Consider the following 21,885-nt stretch of genomic DNA (forward strand, 5'->3'; position numbering starts at 1 on the left):
CTCCACAAGTGAGTCCCTGACCCCCGTGTGTACTGACTAGGAGACACCTCCAAGTAGGGGCCAACAGACATCTCTTACAGGAGAGCTCTGGCTGGCATCTGGAAGGTGTACCTCTGGGTCAAAACTTCCAGAGGAAAGAACAGACAGCAATCTTTGCTGCTCTGCAGCCTCCACTGGTGATACCCAGGGAAACAGGGTCGGGAGTGGACCTCCAGCAAACTCCAGCTGACTGGCAGCAGAGGGGCCTGACTGTTAGAAGGAAAATAAACAAACAGAAAGGAATAGCACATCCACTCAAATGCCCCATCTGAAGTTCACCAACATCAAAGACCAAAGGTAGATAAATCCACAAAGATAGGAAAGAAAAAAAAAAGTGCTAAAAGGATATAAATACCAAAATCCAGAATGCCTCTCTTCCTCTGAAGGATCACAACTCTTCACCAGCAAGGGAACAAAACTGGACAGAGAATGCATTTGATGAACTGACAGAAGTAGCCTTCAGAAGGTGGGTAATAACAAACTCCCCTGAGCTAAAGGAGCATGTTCTAACCCAATGCAAGGAAGCTAAGAACCTTGAAAAAAGGTTAGCCGAATTGCTAACTAGAATAACTAATGTAGAGAAGAACATATATGATCTGATGGAGCTGAAAAACACAGCATGAGAACGTGAAGAATATACAAGTATCAATAGCTGAATAGATCAAGCAGAAGAAAGGATATCAGTGATTGAAGACCAACTTAATGAAATAAAGAGAGAAGACAAGATCAGAGAAAAAAAAAAAGTATAAAAAGAAAGAACAAACACTCCAAGAAATCTGGGACTATGTGAAAAGACCAAACCTGTGTTTGATTGGTGTATCTGAAAGTGATGGGGAGAATGGAACCAAGTTGGAAAACACTCTTCAGGATATTATCCAGGAGAACTTCCCCAACCTAGAAAGACAGGACAACATTCAAATTCAGGAAATGCAGAGAACACCACAAAGATACTTCTAGAGAAGAGCAACCCCAAGACACATAATTGTCAGATTCACCAAGGTTGAAATGAAGGGAAAAATGTTAAGGGCAGCCAGAGAAAAAAGTCAGGTTACCCACAAAGGGAAGCCAATCAGACTAACAGCAGATGTCTCTGCAGAAACCCTACAAGTCAGAAGAGAGTGGGTGCCAATATTTGGTGTTCTCAAAGAAAAGAATTTTCAAACCAGAATTTCATATCTAGCCAAACTAAGCTTCATAAGTGAAGAAGAAATAAAATCCTTTACAGGCAAGCAAATGCTGAGGGATTTTGTCACCGCTAGATCTGCCTTACAGAGCTCCTGAAGTGAGCACTAAACATGGAAAGGAAAAACAGTTACCAGCCAATACAAAAACATACCAAATTGTAAAGAACATCAACACTATGAAGAAACCGCATTAACTAACCAACATCCAGCAAAACAACCAGCTAGAATCATAATGACAGAATCAAATTCACACATTACAATATTAACCGTAAATGGAAACAGGCCAAATGCCCCAATTAAAAGACACAGACTGGCAAATTGGATAAAAAGTCAAGACACCTCAGTGTGCTGTATTCAGAAGATCTACCTCATGTGCAAAGACACACATAGGCTCAAAATAAAGGGATGGAGGGATACTTATCAAGTGAATGGAAAGCAAAAAAGAACGTGAGTTGCAGTCCTAATCTCTGATAAAACAGACTTTAATCCAACAAAGATCAAAAGAGACAAAGAAGGGCATTACATTTTGGTGAAGGGATCAATGCAGCAATGAGAGCTAACTATCCTAAATATATATGCACCCAATACAGGAGCACACATATTAATAAAGCAAGTTTTTAGAGACCTAGAAAGACTTAGACTCCCACACAATAATAATGGGAGAATTTCACACTCCACTGTCAATATTAGACAGTTCGAGGAGACAGAAAATTAACAGTGATATTCAAGACTTGAACTCAGCTCTGGAGCAAGCCGACCTAATAGACTTCTACAGAATTCTCCACCCCAAATCAACAGAATATATATTCCTCTCAGCACCACATAGCACTTATTTTAAAATTGACCACATAATTGGAAGTAAAACACTTCTCAGCAAATGTACAAGAATGGAAATCATAACAAACTGTATCTCAGACCAGAGTGCAATCAAATTAGAACTCAGGATAAAGAAACTCACTGAAAACCTCACAACTACATGGAAACTGAACAACCTGCTTCTGAATGACTACTGGGTAAATAATGAAATAAAGGTAGGAATAAAGACGTTCTTTGAAACCAGTAAGAATAAAGACACAACGTACCAGAATCTCTGGACACATTTAAGGCAGTGTTTAGAGGGAAATTTATAGCACTAAATGCACACAAGAGAAAGCAGGAAAAATCTAAAATTGATGCCCTAACATCAAAATTAAAAGAACTAGAGAAGCAGAAGCAAACGAATTCAAAAGCTAGCAGAAGACATGAAATAACTAAGAGCAGAGCAGAACTGAAGGAGATAGAGGCACAAACAACCCTCCAAAAAATCAATGAATTCAGGAGTTGTTTTTTTAGAAAAATCAACAAAATAGATAGACTGCTAGCCAGACTAATACAGAAGAAAAGAGAGAAGAATCAAGTAGACAAAATAAAAAATGATATAGGGGATATCACCACTGATCCCACAGAAATAAAAACTACCATCAGAGAATACAATAAATGCCTCTAGCAAATAAACTAGAAAATCTAGAAGAAATGGATAAATCCCTGGACACATACACCCTCACAAGTCTAAGTCAGAAAGAAGTTGAATCCCTGAATAGACCAATAACAAGTTCTGAAATTGAAGCAGTAATTAATAGCCTACTAACCAAAAAAGTCCAGGACCAGACAGATTCACAGCCGAATTCTACCAGAGGAACAAAGAGGAGCTGCTACCATTCCTTCTGAAACTATTCCAATCAATAGAAAAAGAGGGCATCCTCCCTCATTTCATGAGGCCAGAATCATTCTGATATCAAAACCTGGCAGAGACACAACAAAAAGAGAAAACTTCAGACCAATATTCCTGATAAATATCGATGTGACAATGCTCAATAAAATACTAGCAAACTGAATCCAGCAGCACATCAAAAAGATTATCCACTATGATCAAGTTGGCTTCATACCTGGGATGCAGAGCTGGTTCAACATATGCAAATCAATAAACGCAATCCATCACAAAAACAGAACAAATGAGAAAAACCACATGATTATCTCAATAGACACAGAAAAGGCCTTTGATAAAAATCAATGCCTCTTCATGCTAAAAGCTCTCAATAAACTAGGTATCGATGGAACATATCTCAAAATAATAAGAGCTATTTATGACAAACCCACAGCCAATATCATACTGAATGGGAAAAAACTGGAAGCATTTCCTTTGAAAACTGGCACAAGACAAGGATGCCTCTCTCATCACTCCTATTCAACATAGTATTGGAAGTTCTGGCCAGGGTAATCAGGCAGGAGAAAGCAATAAAGTGTATTCAGATATGAAGAGAGTAAGTCAAATTGTCTGTGTTTGCAGATTACATGATTGAATATTTAGAAAACCCCATCATCTCAGCCCAAAATCTCCTTAAGCTGATAAGCAACTTCAGCAAAGTCTCAGGACACAAAATCAATGTGCAAAAATCACAGGCATTCTTATACACCAATAACAGACAAACAGAGAGCAAAATCATGAGTGAAGTCCCATTCACAATTACTACTAAGAGAACAAAATACCTAGGAATTCAACTTACAAGGTATGTGAAGGACCTCTTCAAGGAGAACTACAAACCACTGCTCAATGAAATAAAAGAGGAGAGAAACAAACTTTTACATTTATCTCTTCATTGCTGAACATATTTGTCAAGATTTCAAAATGTCCAGATGTGGAAAGCAAGGTGGAAAGGCCTGAGCCAAGGCTAAGACTTGCTCTTCTAGGGTTGGGCTCCAGTTCCCCGTGGGTCAAGTAGCTCCTGACAGAAGCAAAAAACATGGAAAAAGACAACCAGTACCAGCCACTGCAAAAACACGCCAAATTGTAAAGACCATCGATGCTAGGAAGAAACTGAATCAATTAACAGTTAAAATAACCAGCTGACATCATAACGAGAGGATCAAATTCACACATAACAATATTGACCTTAAATGTAAATGGGCTTAAAGCCCCAATTAAAAGACAAAGACTGGCAAATTGGATAGAGTCGAGACCTGCTAGTGTGCTGTATTCAGGAGAACCATCTCACGTGCAGGGACACAGATAGGCTCAAAATAAAGGGATGGAGGAAGATCTACCAAGTAAAAGGAAAGCCAAAAAAAGAAGCGGTTGCAATGCTAGTCTCTGATAAAACAGACTTTAAACCAACAAAGATCAAAAGAGACAAAGAAGGCCATTACATAATGGTAAAGGGATCAAATCAACAAGAAGATCTAACTATCCTAAATATCTATGCACCCAATACAGGAGCACCCAGATTCATAAAGCAAGTCCTTAGATACCTACAAAGAGACTTAGACTCCCACACAATAATAATGGGAGACTTTAACACCCCACTGTCCATATCAGACAGATCAATGAGACAGAAGGTTAACAAGAACATCCAGGAATTGAACTCACCTCTGCACCCAGTGGACCTAATAGACATCTACAGAACTCTCCACCCCAAATCAACAGAATATACATTCTACTCAGCACCACATCACACTTATTCTAAAAATGACCACATAATTGGAAGTAAAGCACTCCTTAGCAAATGTAAAATAACAGAAATCATAACAATCTGTCTCTCAGACCACAGTGCCATCAAGTTAGAATTCGGGATTAAGAAACTCACTCAAAACCACACAACTACATGGAAACTGAACAACCTGCTCCTGAATGACTACTGAGTAAATAATGAAATGAAGGCAGAAATAAAGATGTTCTCTGAAACCAACAAGAACAAAGACTCAACATACCAGAATCTTTGTGACACATTTAAAGCAGCGTGTAGAGGGAAATTTATAGCACTAAATGCCCACAAGAGAAAGCAGAAAAAATCTAAAATCAGCACCCTAACACCACAGTTGAAATAACTAGAGAAGCAAGAGCAAACAAATTCAAAAGCTACCCGAAGGGAAGAAATAACTAAGATCAGAGCAGAACTGAAGGAAATAGAGACACAAAAAACCCTTCAAAAAAATCAATGAATCCAGGAGCTGGGTTTATGAAAAGATCAACAAAATTGACAGACTGCTAGCAAGACTAATATAGAAGAAAAAAGAGAAGAATCAAATAGACACAATAAAAAATAATAAAGGGGATATCACCACCAATCCCACAGAAATACAAACTACCTTTAGAGAATACTATAAGCACCGGTACACAAATAAAGTAGAAAATCTAGAAGAAATGGATGAATTCCTGAACACATATACCCTCCCAAGACAAAACCAGGAAAAAGTTCAATCTCTGAATAGACTAATAACAGGCTCTGAAACTGAGGCAATAATTAATAGTTTACCAACCAAAAAAAGTCCAGGATCGGACGTATTCACAGCCGAATTCTACCAGAGGTACAAAGAGGAGCTGGTACCATTCCTTCTGAAACTATTCCAATCAATAGAAAAAGAGAAAATCCTCCCTGTCTCATTTTATATGGCCAGCATCAGCCTGATACCAAAACCTGGCAGAGACACAACAAAAAAAGAGAATTTTAGACCAATATTCCTGATGAACATCATTGGGAATATCCTCAGTAAAATACTGGCAAACCGATTCCAGCAGCACATCAAAAAGCTTATCCACCACGATCAAGTTGGCTTCATCCCTGGGACGCAAGGCTGGTTCAACATATGCAAATCAATAAATGTGATCCATCACATAAACACGACCAATGAGAAAAACCACATGATTATCTCAATAGTTGCAGAAATGGCCTTCAACAAAATTCAACAGCCTTCATGCTAAAACTCTCAATAAACTAGGTATTGATGGAATGTATCTCAAAATAATAGGATCTATTTATGACAAACCCACAGCCAATATCATACTGAATGGGCAAACCTGGAAGCATTCCCTTTGTAAACCAGCACAATACAAGGATGCCCTCTCTCACCACTCCTATTCAACATAGTGTTGGAAGTTCTGGCTAGGGCAATCAGGCAAGAGAAAGAAATAAAGGGTATTCAATTAGGAAAAGAGGAAGTCAAATTGTCTGTGCTTGCAGATGATATGATTGTATATTTAGAAAACCCCATTGTCTCAGCCCAAAATCTCCTTAAGCTGATAAGCAACTTCAGCAAAATCTCAGGATACAAAATCAGTGTGTAAAAATCACAAGCATTCCTATACACCAAGAACAGACAAACACAGAAACAAATCAAGAGTGAACTCCCATTCACAATTGCTACAAAGAGAATAAAATACCTAGCAATCCAACTTACAAGGGAGGTGAAGGACCTCTTCAAGGAGAACTACAAACCACTGCTCAAGGAAGTAAAACCGGAGCAAAACAAATGGAAGAACATTCCGTGCTCATGGATAGGAAGCATCAATATCGTGAAAATGGCCATACTGCACAAGATGATTTATAGATTTAATGCCATCCCTATCAAGCTCCCAATGACTTTCTTCACAGAATTGGAAAAAAACTACTTAGTTTCCTATGGAACCAAAAAAGAGCCCTCATTGCCATGACAATCCTAAGCAAAAAGAGCAAAGCTGGAGGCATCACGCTACCTGATTTCAAACTATACTACAAGGCTAGAGCATCCAAAACAGCATGGTACTGGTAACAAAGAAGATATATGGACCAATGGAACAGAACAGAACAGAGGCCTCAGAAATAACACCACACATCTACGGCCATCTGATCTTTGACAAACCTGACAATAACAAGAAATGGGGAAAGGATTCCCTATTTAATAAATGGTGTTGGGAAAACTGTCTAGCCATATGTAGAAAGCTGAAACTGGATCCCTTCCTTACACCTTATAGAAGAACTAATTCAAGATGGATTAAAGATTTAAATGCTAGACCTAAAACCATAAAAACCCTAGAAGAAAAAACCTAGGCAATACCATTCAGGATAGAGACATGGGCAAGGACTTCATGACTAAAACACCAAAAGCAATGGCAACAAAAGCCAAAATTGACAAATTGCATCTAATAAAACTAAAGAGTTTCTGCACAGTAAAATAATAATAATAACAATAAAACAAAAAAAAACCTATCATCAGAATGAACTGGCAACCTACAGAATGGGAGAAAAATTTTTGCAATCTATCCACCTGACAAAGGGCTAATTGAATGTACAAAGAAGTTAAACAAATTTACAAGAAAAAAACAAAAAAACACATTAAAATTTGGGCAAAGTATAAGAACAGATACTTCTCAAAAGTAGACATTTATGCAGCTAAGAGGCATATGAAAAAATGCTCATCATCACTGGTCATTAGAGAAATGCAAATCAAAACCACAATGAGATACCATCTCACGCCAGATAGAATAACGATCATTAAAACGTCGGGAAACAACAGATGCTGGAGAGATGTGGAAAAATAGGAATGCTTTTACACTGTTAGGGGAGTGTGAATTAGTTCAACCATTGTGGAAGACAATGTGGCAATTCCTGAAGGATCTAGAACTAGAATTGCCATTTGTCCCAGCAATCCCATTACTGGGTATATACCCAAAGGATTATAAATCATTCTATGATAAAGAAACATGAACACGTATGTTTATTGTGGCACTATTCACAATAGCAAAGACTTGGAACCAACCAAAATGTCATCAATGATAGACTGGATTAAGAAAATGTGGCACATATACACCATGGAATACTATGCAGCCATAAAAAAGGATGAGTTCATGTCCTTTGCAGGGACATGGATGAAGCCAGAAACCATAATTCTCAGCAAACTATCACAAGAGCAGAAAACCAAACACTGCGTGTTCTCACTCATAAGTGGGAGTTGAACAATGAGAACACATGGACACAGGGAAGGGAACATCACACACTGGTGCCTGTTGGGGACTGGGGGACTAGGTGAGGGATAACATTAGGAGAAATACCTAATGTAGGTGACGGGTTGATGGGTGCAGCAAACCACCAAGGCACGTGTATACCTATGTAACAAAACACGTTCTGCACATGTAACCCCAAACTTAAAGGATAATAATAATAAAAAAGAACCACAACAAAAAAAGAAAAGCTTATTTATCATAATCAAGTAGGCTTTAATGCTGGGATGAGAGTTTGGTTCAACATATGCAAATCAATAAATATGATTCATCACATAAACAGAACTAAAGACAAAAAACACGTTATTATCTCAATAGATGGAGAACAGGCTTTCAGTACAATTAAACATTCCTTCATGTTAAAAGTTCTCAACAAACAAGATTTTGAAGGAACATACTTCAAAATAATGAGTCACTTATGACAAACTCACAGCCAACATCATACTGAATGGGCAAAAGCTGGAAGCATTTCCCATGAGAGCTGGCACAAGACATTGATTCCCTCTCTGACCACTCCTATTTTACATAGTATTGGGAGTTCTAGCTAGGTCAATCAGGCAAGAGAATAAAATGACAGCATCCGAATAGATAGCAAGGAAGTTAATCTATAAAATATTGCTGAAGAAATTAAAGATAGCTAAATAATTGAGGGCTTATGTATGCATGTGTATATGTATATCTCATATTCATGATTGGAAGACCCCACTTTGAAAAAATGTCAGCTGTCCCCAAATTGGTCTATAGATTCAATGGAATCCTAATAAAAATCTAAGCAGATCTTTTTTTTTCTGTACTCTGATTATAACATTTACACGGATATGCTAAGAATCTGAAATATCAAAAAACAGTCTTTAATAGAAGAAACAAAACGACTGGGCTTTCACTTTTTTCACCTTTTGACTTTAATTAAAAAACCTTAATATCAAGCAAAAAAAATCCAATTAGAAAATGAACAGAAGACATGAAAAGATTTTTCACCAAAATGAATATATAGATGTCATATAAGCTTATGAAACTGTTTTAGGCCCTAGGGAAATGCAAATTTAAACTATGTTAAGCTATCACTTTACACCTATTAGAATGGCTAAAATTTAAAAAAAAAATGGTGACTGTAAGAAATGCTGCTGAGCATGCAGTGAAACTGGATGACATATATTGCTGGTGGCATAAAATGGCATAGCCACTTTACAAGATTATTTGGAAGCTTCAAAAAAAAAAAAACACTAAAAATGCATCTACCATATGGCCCAGCAATTGCACTCTTAGGTATTTATCTTAGAGAAATTAATACCTTTGTTCACACAAAAAGTTGTACATGAATGTTTACAGCAGCTTTATTCAATAATAACCAAAAGATGTAAATGAATAAAAACCTTACAGATATCCTTCAATAGTGAAAAGGTTAAACAAACCATGGCACATCCATGTAATGGAATACTAGGTAACAATGAAAAATAAATGATTATTGATACACATACAACCTGGCTGAATCTCCAGTGATTGTGCAGAGTGAAAGAAACAAACCCCAATTGGTTACAATACTGCACGATTTGTTTTATTTGACAATCTTGAAATGAAATCATACAAATGGAGAACAGATTGGGGGTAGCTATGGAATAATGAGGGGATTGGGCAGTGGTGTGGACATAAAAGGACAACATGAGAGATCTGTGTTGTGAAGAAAATGTTCTATATTAACTACAGTATTCTCATTATGACATTGTACTTATTTGGAGGATGTTACCATTGGGGGAAAATGAGTAAAGGGCACCTGGAATCTCTCTGTATTATTTCTTACAGCTTCTTGTAAATCTACAATTATCTTAAAATAAGAAGTTTAATTAAAATAATGTATGCAAAATAAGCTTATTTGGTGGTGGACATGGTCAAAAGTTTATCATTTCCTATTTACTTACCTATTGTGTTACACTTATTAAGACACACCCACTTTTGCCTACTTTAAGCACAAGTTTATAGTTACTAAGACATACATTTGTTTTTATATTAGTTAGTATTTGGGAATGGGTAACAAGAAATTTGATTTACATAGTTGTATATGTGCATGTGTGCATCCTCAGATATAAGTTCATGTTTTCATTATGAGTATATGTATTTTTATGTGTTTTTTAAATGTTTATTTTAGGTTTAGTGGTACATGTATAGGTTTGATATATTGGTAAATTGCATGTCATGGAGGTTTGGTGTGCAGATTATTTTGCCATCCAGGTAATTTGCATAGTACCAGTCAGGTAATTTTTTGGTCCTCAGCCTCCTCTCTCCCTCCACCTTCAAGTAGGCTGTGGTGTCTGTTTTTCCCTTCTTTGTGGCCATATGTCCTCATTGTTTAGCTTCCACTCATAAGTGAGAACATGCAGTATTTGGTTTTCTGTTCCTGTGATAGTTTTCTTAGGATAAGGGCCTCCAGCTCCATCCATGTTTCTCCAAAGGGCATTATCTCATTCCTGTTTATGGCTGTGTAGTATTCCATGGTGTATATGTACCACATTTTTGTTATCCAGTCTAATGTTGATGGGCATTTCGGTTGATTACATGTCTTTGTTATTGTGAATAGGGCTGCAAAGAACATACAGATGCATGTATTTTTGTGGTCGAACAATTTATATTCCTTTGTGTGTATACCCAGTAATGAGATTGCTTGGTCAAATGGTAATTCTTCTTTCAGTTCTTTGAGAAATAAACAAAATGCCTTCCACAATGGTTGAACTAACTTATATCGCCTATAGCAGTGTATAAGCTTTCCCTTTTCTGTACAACCTCACCAGCATGTGTTAGTTTTTTGACATTTTAATAATAGCCATTCTGACTATGTGAGATGGTATCTCTTCGTGGTTTTGATTTACATTTCTCTGACGATTAGTGATGATGAGCATTTTTTTAATGTTTTTTGGCCACTTGTATGTCTTCTTTTCAGAAGTGTCTGTTTATGTTTCTTGCTCACTTTTTAATGGGGTTATTTGTTTATTGCTTGTTAAGTTTCTTAGAGATTGTGGATATTAGATCTTTGTTTGATGTTTGTGAATATTTCCCCCATTCTGTAGGTTGTCTGTTTACTCCGTTGATGGTTTCATTCTTTCTGTGTGGGTTGATGTTCCTTCAACTGTAGTGTAATATGAGTATAATCAGTTGACTTCTTTTCTGAATGTTTTCAGCAGTCTAAGCATTTTTGCAGGATCTTTATTTGTAGCTTAGTTCTTGTCCTTGGTTTCACTGGGGGATATATTAACAGTATTTTCGGTGTTGAAATTTGGTTGTAATCCACTAGATGGTGCTTAAATGTAATGGTTAATAGGTACGCTCTTGCTTAGCCATGTGGCTCGCCTGTATTTCCTCATGATTGCCATCAAATTTTCTGTTACTGTTCTGAAAGTGTAGGCTCCTCTCCCACAGAAGTGCTGTCTGTAGACCTCTGTTTGGCACTTGCGAGCTGTACAGCACAACCTTGTGGTGAGCTCATCTTTATTTTCCTTCCCCACTTTTGAGGCAGCAGGGGACAAGACCTTGGCAGTGGCTATGGCAGAGGGTCTTTCCCGTGTCTTTTGGTGCTCTACCCTAGAGAAATTCAGAGCGGATATCAACTGGTGCAATCAGTCAAGGGTGGGGCAGCTGCGTTTTTGGCCCAAGCCATGGGAACCTGCCTGGGGATGGGAAGGGGATTGCGGAGGGAACAGACCAGCCTCTTCTCCTTATGGTGGCTGTGGCTTTCTGGAGGTGTGGTTAAAGCACTGTGCGTCTTTGCTTCTTTCCCAGTCTGAGGGCAGCAAGGGCACTACCATTGCAGTGGCAGGGGCAGAAAGGCTTTTGGTTGTCTCTGGGACCTCCATCTCAGAAAAAAACACAGAGTCACTGCTACTGGGGATGTTCAGCCAGGGGGTGAGGCAACTGTGCTGTTGGCCTGAGGTGGGGACCCCGCTTGGGGAAGAGTCGGGGTTCGAGGGATAACAGGGAGGAGAGAGTGGGCTCTTCTTTGTATGGTGACTGTGTCTTGCTAGAAATGTGAGTAAAGCCCTCAGGATCTTCATTTCTTCTCCAGCCTGAGGGCAGCAGGGGAAGAACCACTGCAATGGCAGTGGCAGAGGGGCTGTCAGTTGCCTCTGGGAGCCCCTCCCCCAGGGAAATACAAAGCCACTAGCAGAGGGAATGCTCTGCCAAGGGTGGGACGTCTGTGTAGATCCAGGCTTGGGGCCCTGCTTGGTGAAGAGTGTGGGGTGGGAGCCTACATGGAAGAGAGACTGGGCTCCTCTCTGTATGGTGGCTGCAGCGTGCTGGAGGCTCCAGTGTAGCAACTCGACCTTTTGTTTTATTCCCTGGCCTGAATGCAGCAGAACAGTACCACTGCAGCTGCAATGGCAGAGAAGCTGTGGGTTGTCTCTGGGATTTCCTCCTCAGAAACGCAGAGCTGCTACCGAGTAAAGTGTTTATGTGGAAGCAGAGTGATTGTGCTTGGGGCCCAGGTCAAGAGGCACTGCTCAGTGAAGAGCAGCGGAGGTGGGGACACACGTGAAAACAGTCTGGCCGCTTTTCCTTTAAGGTGACTGCGCTGTGCTGTGGGTTCGCGTCAGTCCCCAACTTCTATACTACCTCCAGAGCCTGATGAGAACATGAGCGTGGAAAAACGTCAGCTTGCCTGCTCCCTCTGGGAGCTCTGTCCCAGGGAAGTGTGGAGCTGCTTCCAGCCTGAGAACTCAGGCAGGGCTGGGGTAGCCTTGTTAGTGTCCCAAGCTAATGGGCCTTATCCTGCGGCGTGCCCGGGAAGAAAGCCTGCAATCTGGGCATGGTGGTGGGTGCTTATAATACCAGCTACTTGGAAGGCTGAGGCAGGAGAATCACTTGAACCCGGGAGGCAAAGGTTGCAATGAGCCAAGATGGTGCCACTGCACTCCAGTGGCGCTCCAGCCTGGGCGACAGAATGAGACACCATATCATAACAAAACAAAACAACAACAACAACAACAACAACAACAAAACCTGGAATATTATTCAGCTTTTAAAAAGCAGGAAATTTAACATTTATTTTAAAGATAAATCTTAATGGTCTTATGATAAGTGTAATAAGTCCATCATAAAAAGTATGAATCCACTTATACGAGTTAGCTAAAGTAGTTGCACTTTTAAAAAGAGAAAATAGAATGGCATTTGTAAAGGGCCAGTCAATGGGGAAAACAGGTAGTCGATTCATGTATAGTATGTATTCATTTTGCAAGATAAAAATGTTCTGGTGATATGTTGCCAACAATGGCAATATACTTAACATGGTCTAACTATTAATATAAAATTAAAATATTTAAGATTGTAAAAAAAAAACAGAAGCTTTACATCCATATGTGATTTAATCTTCATAACACCATATGGCAGCTGTTATTCTACTTTACAGATGAGAAAACACACCTAGGGACATTAAGTGATTTGTTCAAGGTCAAAAACATAATGAGTGCTGGATCTAGGATTTGGATTCAGGTCTGTCTGGTCAGAGCCCAATCAGTGAGCATTCTTTGTACCTCAGGCTCACATATTTGTCATTTACAACTTAAATAAAGTAACAAAAGTTGGGCAAAGTAAATATTTTCATTTTGACAAAACCTTTCTCTGGTAAGGAAGTTTCACTCAGCTAACAGGTTTTGCTCAGAACTGTAATGGAGCCTAGATTATGACAACCTGCTTTATCAGCTTTCTTTACTGGATCTGCTAGATGTGCCTGTCATGATTAACCTGCTTTCTACCAGGTGCTTGAATTAGGCTAGAAGTGCTGTGATGACACTTTCAGTATCAACCTAAGTTCTGCAGGTGAAAAGACAGTGACCTGGATGACGTTGTCATTTCACCTACCCAAGACCTTAAATGCCAAGCTCGAATCCCTATCTTCAACGCTCATTATCTCATAATCACATACCTTCAGCCTACAAACCTGTATTGACTTCTCATCAAGCCCTATGTCAGGCTCTGGCAATACAAAGAGGAATTAGAATGACCCTGTTCTTCGAGGAGTTTATATCTAGATGGGGCATAGACACAAAAACCTAACACATAACAGAGGGTTGTAAGTGCTATGATTTTGTTAATCTGTGGAGTGCAGGGTTACAAAAGAGTGGCATCACACCCAGTTGTAAGTTCAGGGAAGACTTACTGGAGGAGGTGGTACTTGTCCTGAACTAGATGAAGAGGTTGGGAAAGCAGATGCAAAGATAAGGAGGGAAGAGAGAACTTTCGGATAGTTGTTTGTCAGGAGCTTAGCATGTGAGGGATAGAAGGGGTTAGGGATGAAGCATAGAGTTTTTCAGACACCAGTCATGAGAGTCGAATGCTGGACAAAGTAGATGGGTCTTGAATCTGTGGAAAATGGAGAATTATTGCGGAGTTATTGGCAGGGGTGTAATATTGTCAGATTTACATATTAGAAAGAACACTCTATAAATAAAGGCAGAGTGATCAGCTAGATTATTTGTAGAAGTTCATGTAAACCTCAGTGAGATCTGAGCCAGACTGAGTTGAGAAGGAAGGGCTGGATTCTGTCATGAGAATAAGAGAAATGGAAGAATCTGAAGTGATTCTAGATTTTTGGCATGGCTGACTGGGTGGATGAAAATTCCATTTGTAGACCTGTAGGGGCAGCAGTCTGGGGGACAAAAGGATGAGTTTTGGACTTGTTGAGTTTGAACGATCTGGAAGACATTCACATGGATATGTCAAAAAAGGCATTTCAAGTGTCCAGTTTAGGAGACAGATGGGCTGGAGATTTGATGTTCATCAGTACTACCTGTTAGTGATCTTATAAGGATTAAATAATATGCATATGGAAAATATATATATACTTGCCATTTAGTTGTTTGTTGAGCATACTGAATATTTGCATACAAAGGTATACTTACAACACTTTTTTCACAAGCACAGCTGAAATAAACTATAACAACTACCACTTATACTATTTACCATAAATTGTGCTAAATGTTTTTACTTATTATCTAGTGTTTATGGTAACCCTTTGATATAGGAGTAGTTATTCCCATTTTTTTTCTTATGAGTAAACTGACTAGGAGATATAGTGTAGGTTGGCCAGGGCTACACAGTAGCAGAACTGGGGAATTCCAAGGCCAGTGTTCTTTCTTATGACGCATTTTCTGTCTTGGGTTACAACAGCACTAACGACAGGTAGCATTGCACACAGGCAGCTGCTGGGAAGTCTCCGCCCCCATCTCTGGCTAGGAGCCCTGCAGGTGATGATAAACAAGCTCCTGTGGAATTGTGGGTAGACACTGGACTTGTAAACGAAAAGCTTCATAAGTCCCTCTTTGCTTAGTACTTTTCTCGTCCTTTCCCCAGGGTGCACGTAACCCTCAAGCACTAGGACCGTGCGGAATCCAGGCTGCGATGGCACCTTCATTTACCGCCCGCATTCAGTTGTTCCTCTTGCGGGCGCTAGGCTTTCTCATAGGCTTAGTAGGCCGAGCAGCTTTAGTCTTAGGGGGTCCAAAGTTTGCCTCAAAGACCCCTCGGCCGGTGACTGAACCATTGCTTCTGCTTTCGGGGATGCAGCTGGCCAAGCTGATCCGACAGAGAAAGGTGAGAATGCAATTCAGAAGAGGCTGGAGGGACAGGTCTTTTAGCAGGATCCAGGAAGCTTAGTGGTGGCGGTGGTTGTGGTTTCCTTTCCATTCTCTACTAGGGCGACTTAGGAGAGGCATTTATTGGGGATGAAGGGAGACTTCTGGGTGTTGTAGTACGTTTATTTTTACCAAGGACATTTACTGTGGGCATGGGTTGGACTATTTTGGTACCGTCATAGTCCTTCCTATCCATTTGTCCTATTTGTGCATAATTACTGTGTGTGGGGTAAAGCAGGTGTGAATTTCAAACTGATTCTCAGCTATGGAAAGTCAGTCTCTCTCTTTCTCTCTCCCTCTCCCTTTCTCTCTCTCTATTCTTCCGTCTCTCACAGGCCCCAGATCAACCTGCTGCTTACCATTCAACCAATTCTTTTTAAAATTGATTTAAAGTAAAAGTAGTACTTGGTCTAGGATAGTAAAAGCTGCGTCTACCATATATTTATTGCATAGTATATGTGAAATACTCTGCCTGGGTACTTAAACATATTCTATTTCACGGATGCAGTTATATAGGCAATATTCATATTTTATGCATAAGGAAACTGAAGTAAAATGATTTGCACAAAAATTGTTGAAAGTTCTAAATTAAAAAAATTAAGCAGCTCATTCGTTCTCTATAGAATTGTGCAGGCAGGACTATTCATCTCTGTCATATAAGTGATTGGTTACCTGGAGATCTTGAGCTACAGTCTAGTATTGTTTATTTATACTCTGCTTGTTTTCACCTCTCTGCTGTTTCATTTGTTTTTCGTCATTGCTTTATTTCCAGAATCTACAATACTACTTAACAAAGAATAGGCATGCAGCAAATACTATCTCAGTATGTGCTCCTGAATGTATGAATTATTAATATTTGTATTGTACTCCTGGTTACCTTTCAAAGACATATCCTGTCTTCTTGCCGTACCCCCTCCCCAGCCTCTACCCACTCATGCATGCTTTTCTACCAGTTAGGGAGGCAATGGGATGTATTCGGTTGGTGCAAAAGTAATTGTGATTTTGTAATTGAGATTTTGACATTACTTTTAATGGCAAAAATCACAATTACTTTTGCACCAACCTAATAGTAGAAAGATGATATATTTCAAATTTTGGACTGTCTGTTCATGGCTCTGTGACCTTGTGCCACACCAATAGCAGATAATACATATCAAGAACCTGGCACATAGAAGATTGTGTAACATAATGATTAGAAGGATGGACTCTAGAGTCAGACTCCCTGGGTTCAGAAATCCTAGCTTTTCTACGATCTAGCTCTGTGATCTTAAAAACATTTCTTTTTTTTTTTTTTTTTTTTTTTTTTTTTGAGACGGAGTCTCGCTCTGTCGCCTGGGCTGGAGTGCAGTGGTGCGATCTTCGCTCACTGCAAGCTCCGCCTCCCGGGTTGACGCCATTCTCCTGCCTCAGCCTCCCGAGTAGCTGGGACTACAGGCGCCCGCCACCATGCCCGGCTAATATTTCGTATTTTTTAGTAGAGACGGGTTTTCATCGAGTTAGCCAGGATGGTCTTGATCTCCGGACCTCGTGATCCACCCACCTCGGCCTCCCAAAGTGCTGGAATTACAGGTGTGAGCCACTGCGCCCGGCCTTAAAAGCATTTCTTAACTTTTTGTGTCTCTGATGTCCTTTAAGAAAAATGGATTTGATAATAGAATCTACCTTTTAGAGTTATTGTGATGAATTAAATGAATTCATATATGTAAAACTTATAGAATATTGTCTGGCATACTAATCCTATATAAATGTTAACTATTACTATTATTACTATCATCAAGTTTTTGGTAACTAGCCATTTTTTATTCATGCTTGCCCATGAGATGAGATGATCTAGATATAGTTTATCTAGATTTATAAAAATGTTCTGAAGGGGAGAAGTGGAGTGGATACAAAGTTTTATTTATCCCTTAGTTTCTGACATTTTTAAACATGGAAATATTGTTACTGCAAAACAACTAAATTTCTTAAACACCTACCATGTGCCACTTGATAAGGCAAACATTTTACTTAGATTTTTGTAAATTGAATCTTCATAATGACATTTTGAGGTACATATGATTATCATCATCTTACAGAGAAGGAAAATAAAGTTTAGAGCTTTCTAATAGCTTGTCCAATGCCACACAGCTAGAAAGTGGTAGAGCCAGGTAAATCTTACTCAATTTTTGTTGGCACTTTATGGAAGAGTATGCTTCTTGATAACGAGCTCTGATTGAACAGTCAGTTTCCTGTGAGTCAGTGTCTACTGTCTTTTGCTTGCTTTTGTGTCCCTATGATTACTCTTCTATTATTCAGAATTCAGGCTACCACTATGTCTTCTGAACCTCCACAGCCTCAGTTGGTATCCAAGGTTGGGCCTTGCCAAAAATACATCAACTTATGGCCACCATCATACATAGCCTGGTCATTTGGATATTTGATTTTGTTGATGATCCGAAAGTCAATGAGGTTTTGAAACCGTAAGTCCCACCCTTTATTCATCTCCTTTGTTAGGAGACAAGGGTGGAAAGAGGCTTCATTGCATGATCTTTTTTACTTTCAGATTTTTGAAACGTGTGCTCATGTTACCTATTTATAATAAATATAATCAATACTTTAGAAAATTAGAAAAAAGTATTTTCAGTTTTTAGATAAGTAATAAAAAATAAGTATGAAGTTGATCTAAAGGAACAGATACGTAAATAGTTCTGAATTATGTTACGTGGTAAAAATATAAGGTACTGAACAATGAATATAATATGATTCCTTTTGTGTGAAGAAGGGAGAGAGAGCTGAAGAGAGGGGAGAAGGGAATAAGGGAGAGAGGGAGGGAAAGAGAGAGAGAGTGAGAAGCTTTCACTTTTCATTTGTACTTTTCTGTAGTGAATGGATTTTCTAACGATGTACCTAGTCTTCATTTCTCTTACGACAGCAAGGTTCATTTGGAATAAGCAAACACAAATATCCAGGCTCAGCTATGTGACTTTGGTTAAGTCACTTAACCTCAGTGAGCCTCAATGACTTCATCTGTAAAATGGGGATAACATTACATGTGTTGCTAGGAATATTTAATGACATAATATATATAAAGTTCTTGGCATATAATAAGTATTTAGCAAATGGCAATTATGGTCATGTTAACTTCTACCTCTAACCCCTGCTTTTTTTTTTTTTTTTCTCACGTGCTGCATGCTACAAACTCAATTACGGTAGCAGTGGCAGTTGAAGATCTTTGGGGTTGTATACGTTGATGGAGTGACCAGGTACTAGACATCAGCTTGACAATCCAGGCTCTTAATGCTAGAGCTCTGTATACACTAGACTATTGAGTTATGGTGGCTGAAATCTCTGTCTGTGCATGCATTTAACAAACATTTACTGAAAACCTACTAGACGCATAATTCTAAAGGACAAGTAGAGTTAACCCAAAAGAAAAAGTACATGTAACTTTCTTTTATAATTTCATAAATCTCCCCTGTATCTATGGTTGTACCTTATTTTTTCATTCTTAATACTAACCATTTTTCTGCACACACTCTTTCTCCATCATGCTTGTTGCAGTTTATCCATTTGATAGATATTTAAAAGTTAGTTCATCTTTTTATACTGGTTTTGTTGTTACTGTTCCTATTTTATTTCTGTTATTAAATTTTATCTTGATCTTGTTATTCTTTAAAAAAATTGCTTTATTTTTCTATTATTTTAAGTTGAATACCTTATATATTGTCTTACTTTTTATAAATAAAAGCATATTAGGACAATTTTAGCCACAATCAATATATTTGATAAGAAATGATCCTCTTTTTGTGAATTTCCTGATAATTTGCCATTTTAGTTTTGTTTACCTCTTAGATCCATTGGTTATATGGAAGAATGTTTTTGAAATAATTAAGCCTTCTAAATATCACTGTTTAATTTTGGGTTTCTAATATTTCTGGATATGATAATTTGTCAAATTGACTTAGAAATTCTCTAAAACCATTTGGGATTTAAGATTTGCTTTGTGTGACATGATTATTTTTTGTTAATGATTGATGAATAAAGAACATATTCTTGATGGAGTAAAAATTCTCCCTCACTATGCATTTGAGCATGTTGGTTGTATTATTAAATTCTTGGATATATCCTCACTTTTTACTCCTTGGTCTGTGAGTCTCTGAGGGAGCTATATTGTTTACTACTGTACTTATACATCTGGTCAACTTCTCTTTGTATTTGTAGTATATGCTTCATGTATTTGCCAGCTTTATTAAAACAGAAAAGTATATGACTGTTACAGCATCCTCATGTATCATACCATTTTAGGTTTCAGTTTTAAAATTTGCTTTCTCTAATATTAATGATACCACCTCTCCTTTCTTATTGTTTGTTTTCACCTAGTATATGTTTGCCTAACTCTTTGTTTTCAATCTTTCATTGTCTTTTTGTTCCAGATGAATTTCATATAAACATTGTATAGCTGAGCTTTTTTTAAAACCAAATTTAATGCTTTTGCCCTCTGGCAGGGGAATTCAGTCCTTCACACTTATTATGTAATTGGTTTAATCCTTTTCACTTGATGTAATGTTTATAATTTATCATACTTGCTTTTTCTTTTCCTTTCCTTCTTTTTTCTGTCTTGATCTGATTTCTTTTTAATTATTTTTCTCTCCTCATTACTTGGGGGTTCTGTTTTGCTTTGCAATTTTCTAATGTTTATTGTCTCATGTCTAAGAATTAACATTAAAACTACAATTGTATATAATAATTAAATTATAATCCTGTAGCACCCACCCAGGATGTTTTACTTGTCTCATTCCTGCTCACATGCTTAACTTAAGACCTTTGGTTTAGTGTTGGTAAATTTAGCAAACAAAAGTACAATATGCTTAGCTAAATTTAAATTTAAGATAAATAACAAATAGATTTCAGTATAATCATCCTCATGCAATTATTGGGACATACTTATATTAAAAATTACTCTCTATTCATTTGAAATTCAAATTTAACTTGATTTCCTGTATTTTATCTGGAAACCCTAACTTTATGCCCTTTTATGTCTCCACTCTCCAACTCTTGGTTTTGCAGAGTTGATGTATACTGTTAAGTTTCAGTGTATTACTGAAACAATATCTATTTTTTTATTGATTATTTACTAGAACAAAATATTTGCTAGTTTAGTATATATACATAATATCTCTGAACTCCAATTTATATTTAATTTCAGCAGAGTTTATTCCTTTTATCCCTACTCATTGTTTGGAACTTTCTTATACTGGTATATTCCTGACTTCTTACCTTCAAAGTAGACATCTTATACCTCCTTAGCTTCATATTTTGCCTCATGGGGGACTACACTGTGTAATTCACTGAAAGTGTCTCAAAAAATGATTAATGTACATAGGAGTCTTTCAGGAAATACTTGTTGAATGAATTGTTTAGTGAATAAATGGCTGCTGACTAAAGTATTGTATTTTGCAGGTGAAATGTATAGATGTTGTTCAGGCTTATATCAACAGAATCAAGGACGTGAACCCAATGATCAATGGAATTGTCAAGTACAGGTGAGCATTTCCACTCTCTCAAGGAGTCATTTATGGTGGTTTTTGTTCTACTTCTGTGGTCATGCCACCTTAGCATATTTCCTAGATTCTTCTTTCTCTTTGTCCTTCCCTTGTTCTCACTGGGAACTTCTCTGACTTCTAATTTCAGTATTTTGTCCTTTGTTGAGTGTTTATGATTATTTGTCTGCATCCTCCTCCTATTAACTGCAAGATCCTTGATGGCAAGGACTAAATTTTGTTGTTTTTGCATATCCAACATCCAGAACAAGGTCTACAGTTTGGTAGGCATCATTGAACATTTACTGAATAGATTAATATTTGGCAGTGACTCTAATAGGAGAACCCCCCTACACATGCACACTTTTTTGAATGTGTATTTAGCATAGTAGATAGTATTTTATATAGGTATCATATACGTTACTTCTGTGTCTCTATTGCTAAGTAAACACTTCTCAGCAGCTCTGAGGTATTAGAGGGCCAAAAACTTGGATTATTTTCTTTGTAATATTCTGTTTAATGGGTAGTACAGTTCTTCTTAGCACACCATGACATAGGGTGCCATCGTGTAGCTCTCAGCCATTCATGTACCATCTTTAGGATTTTTGTCTTGTTTGCACGTCAGCTTTGTTGTTGTTAATATACTTATTAAAATTGAGTCACTTATTCTAACTTAATCATTTTAAAATGAAACTTTATATCACTACACATATTGAAAACCTATCATTTAACATGGA

At 37.9% G+C, this 21,885-nt stretch overlaps 1 protein-coding gene across 18 annotated transcripts in view; it reads left to right on the forward strand.

The window, feature by feature from the left end:
- FAAH2 (fatty acid amide hydrolase 2) overlaps window positions 1–21,885 on the forward strand; it is a 367,606-nt gene that overhangs the window by 149,839 nt on the left and 195,882 nt on the right. For 13 of the 18 annotated variants that reach the window (NM_001353840.1, XM_005261987.5, NM_001353841.1 and 10 more), the window contains exons 1-2: window positions 15,248–15,588; window positions 21,069–21,151. In NM_001353840.1, the coding sequence (NP_001340769.1) occupies window positions 15,397–15,588; window positions 21,069–21,151 (275 nt within the window). In that variant the 5' untranslated portion in view covers window positions 15,248–15,396. Of the gene's footprint in view, window positions 1–15,247; window positions 15,589–18,821; window positions 18,872–21,068; window positions 21,152–21,885 lie in introns of those variants that run through there. The other 5 variants (NR_148564.2, NR_148557.2, XM_005261985.4 and 2 more) reach the window with 4 other exon arrangements.

Source organism: Homo sapiens, chromosome X (genome assembly GCF_000001405.40).
Source record: "Homo sapiens chromosome X, GRCh38.p14 Primary Assembly".
Lineage (NCBI taxonomy): Eukaryota > Metazoa > Chordata > Mammalia > Primates > Hominidae > Homo > Homo sapiens.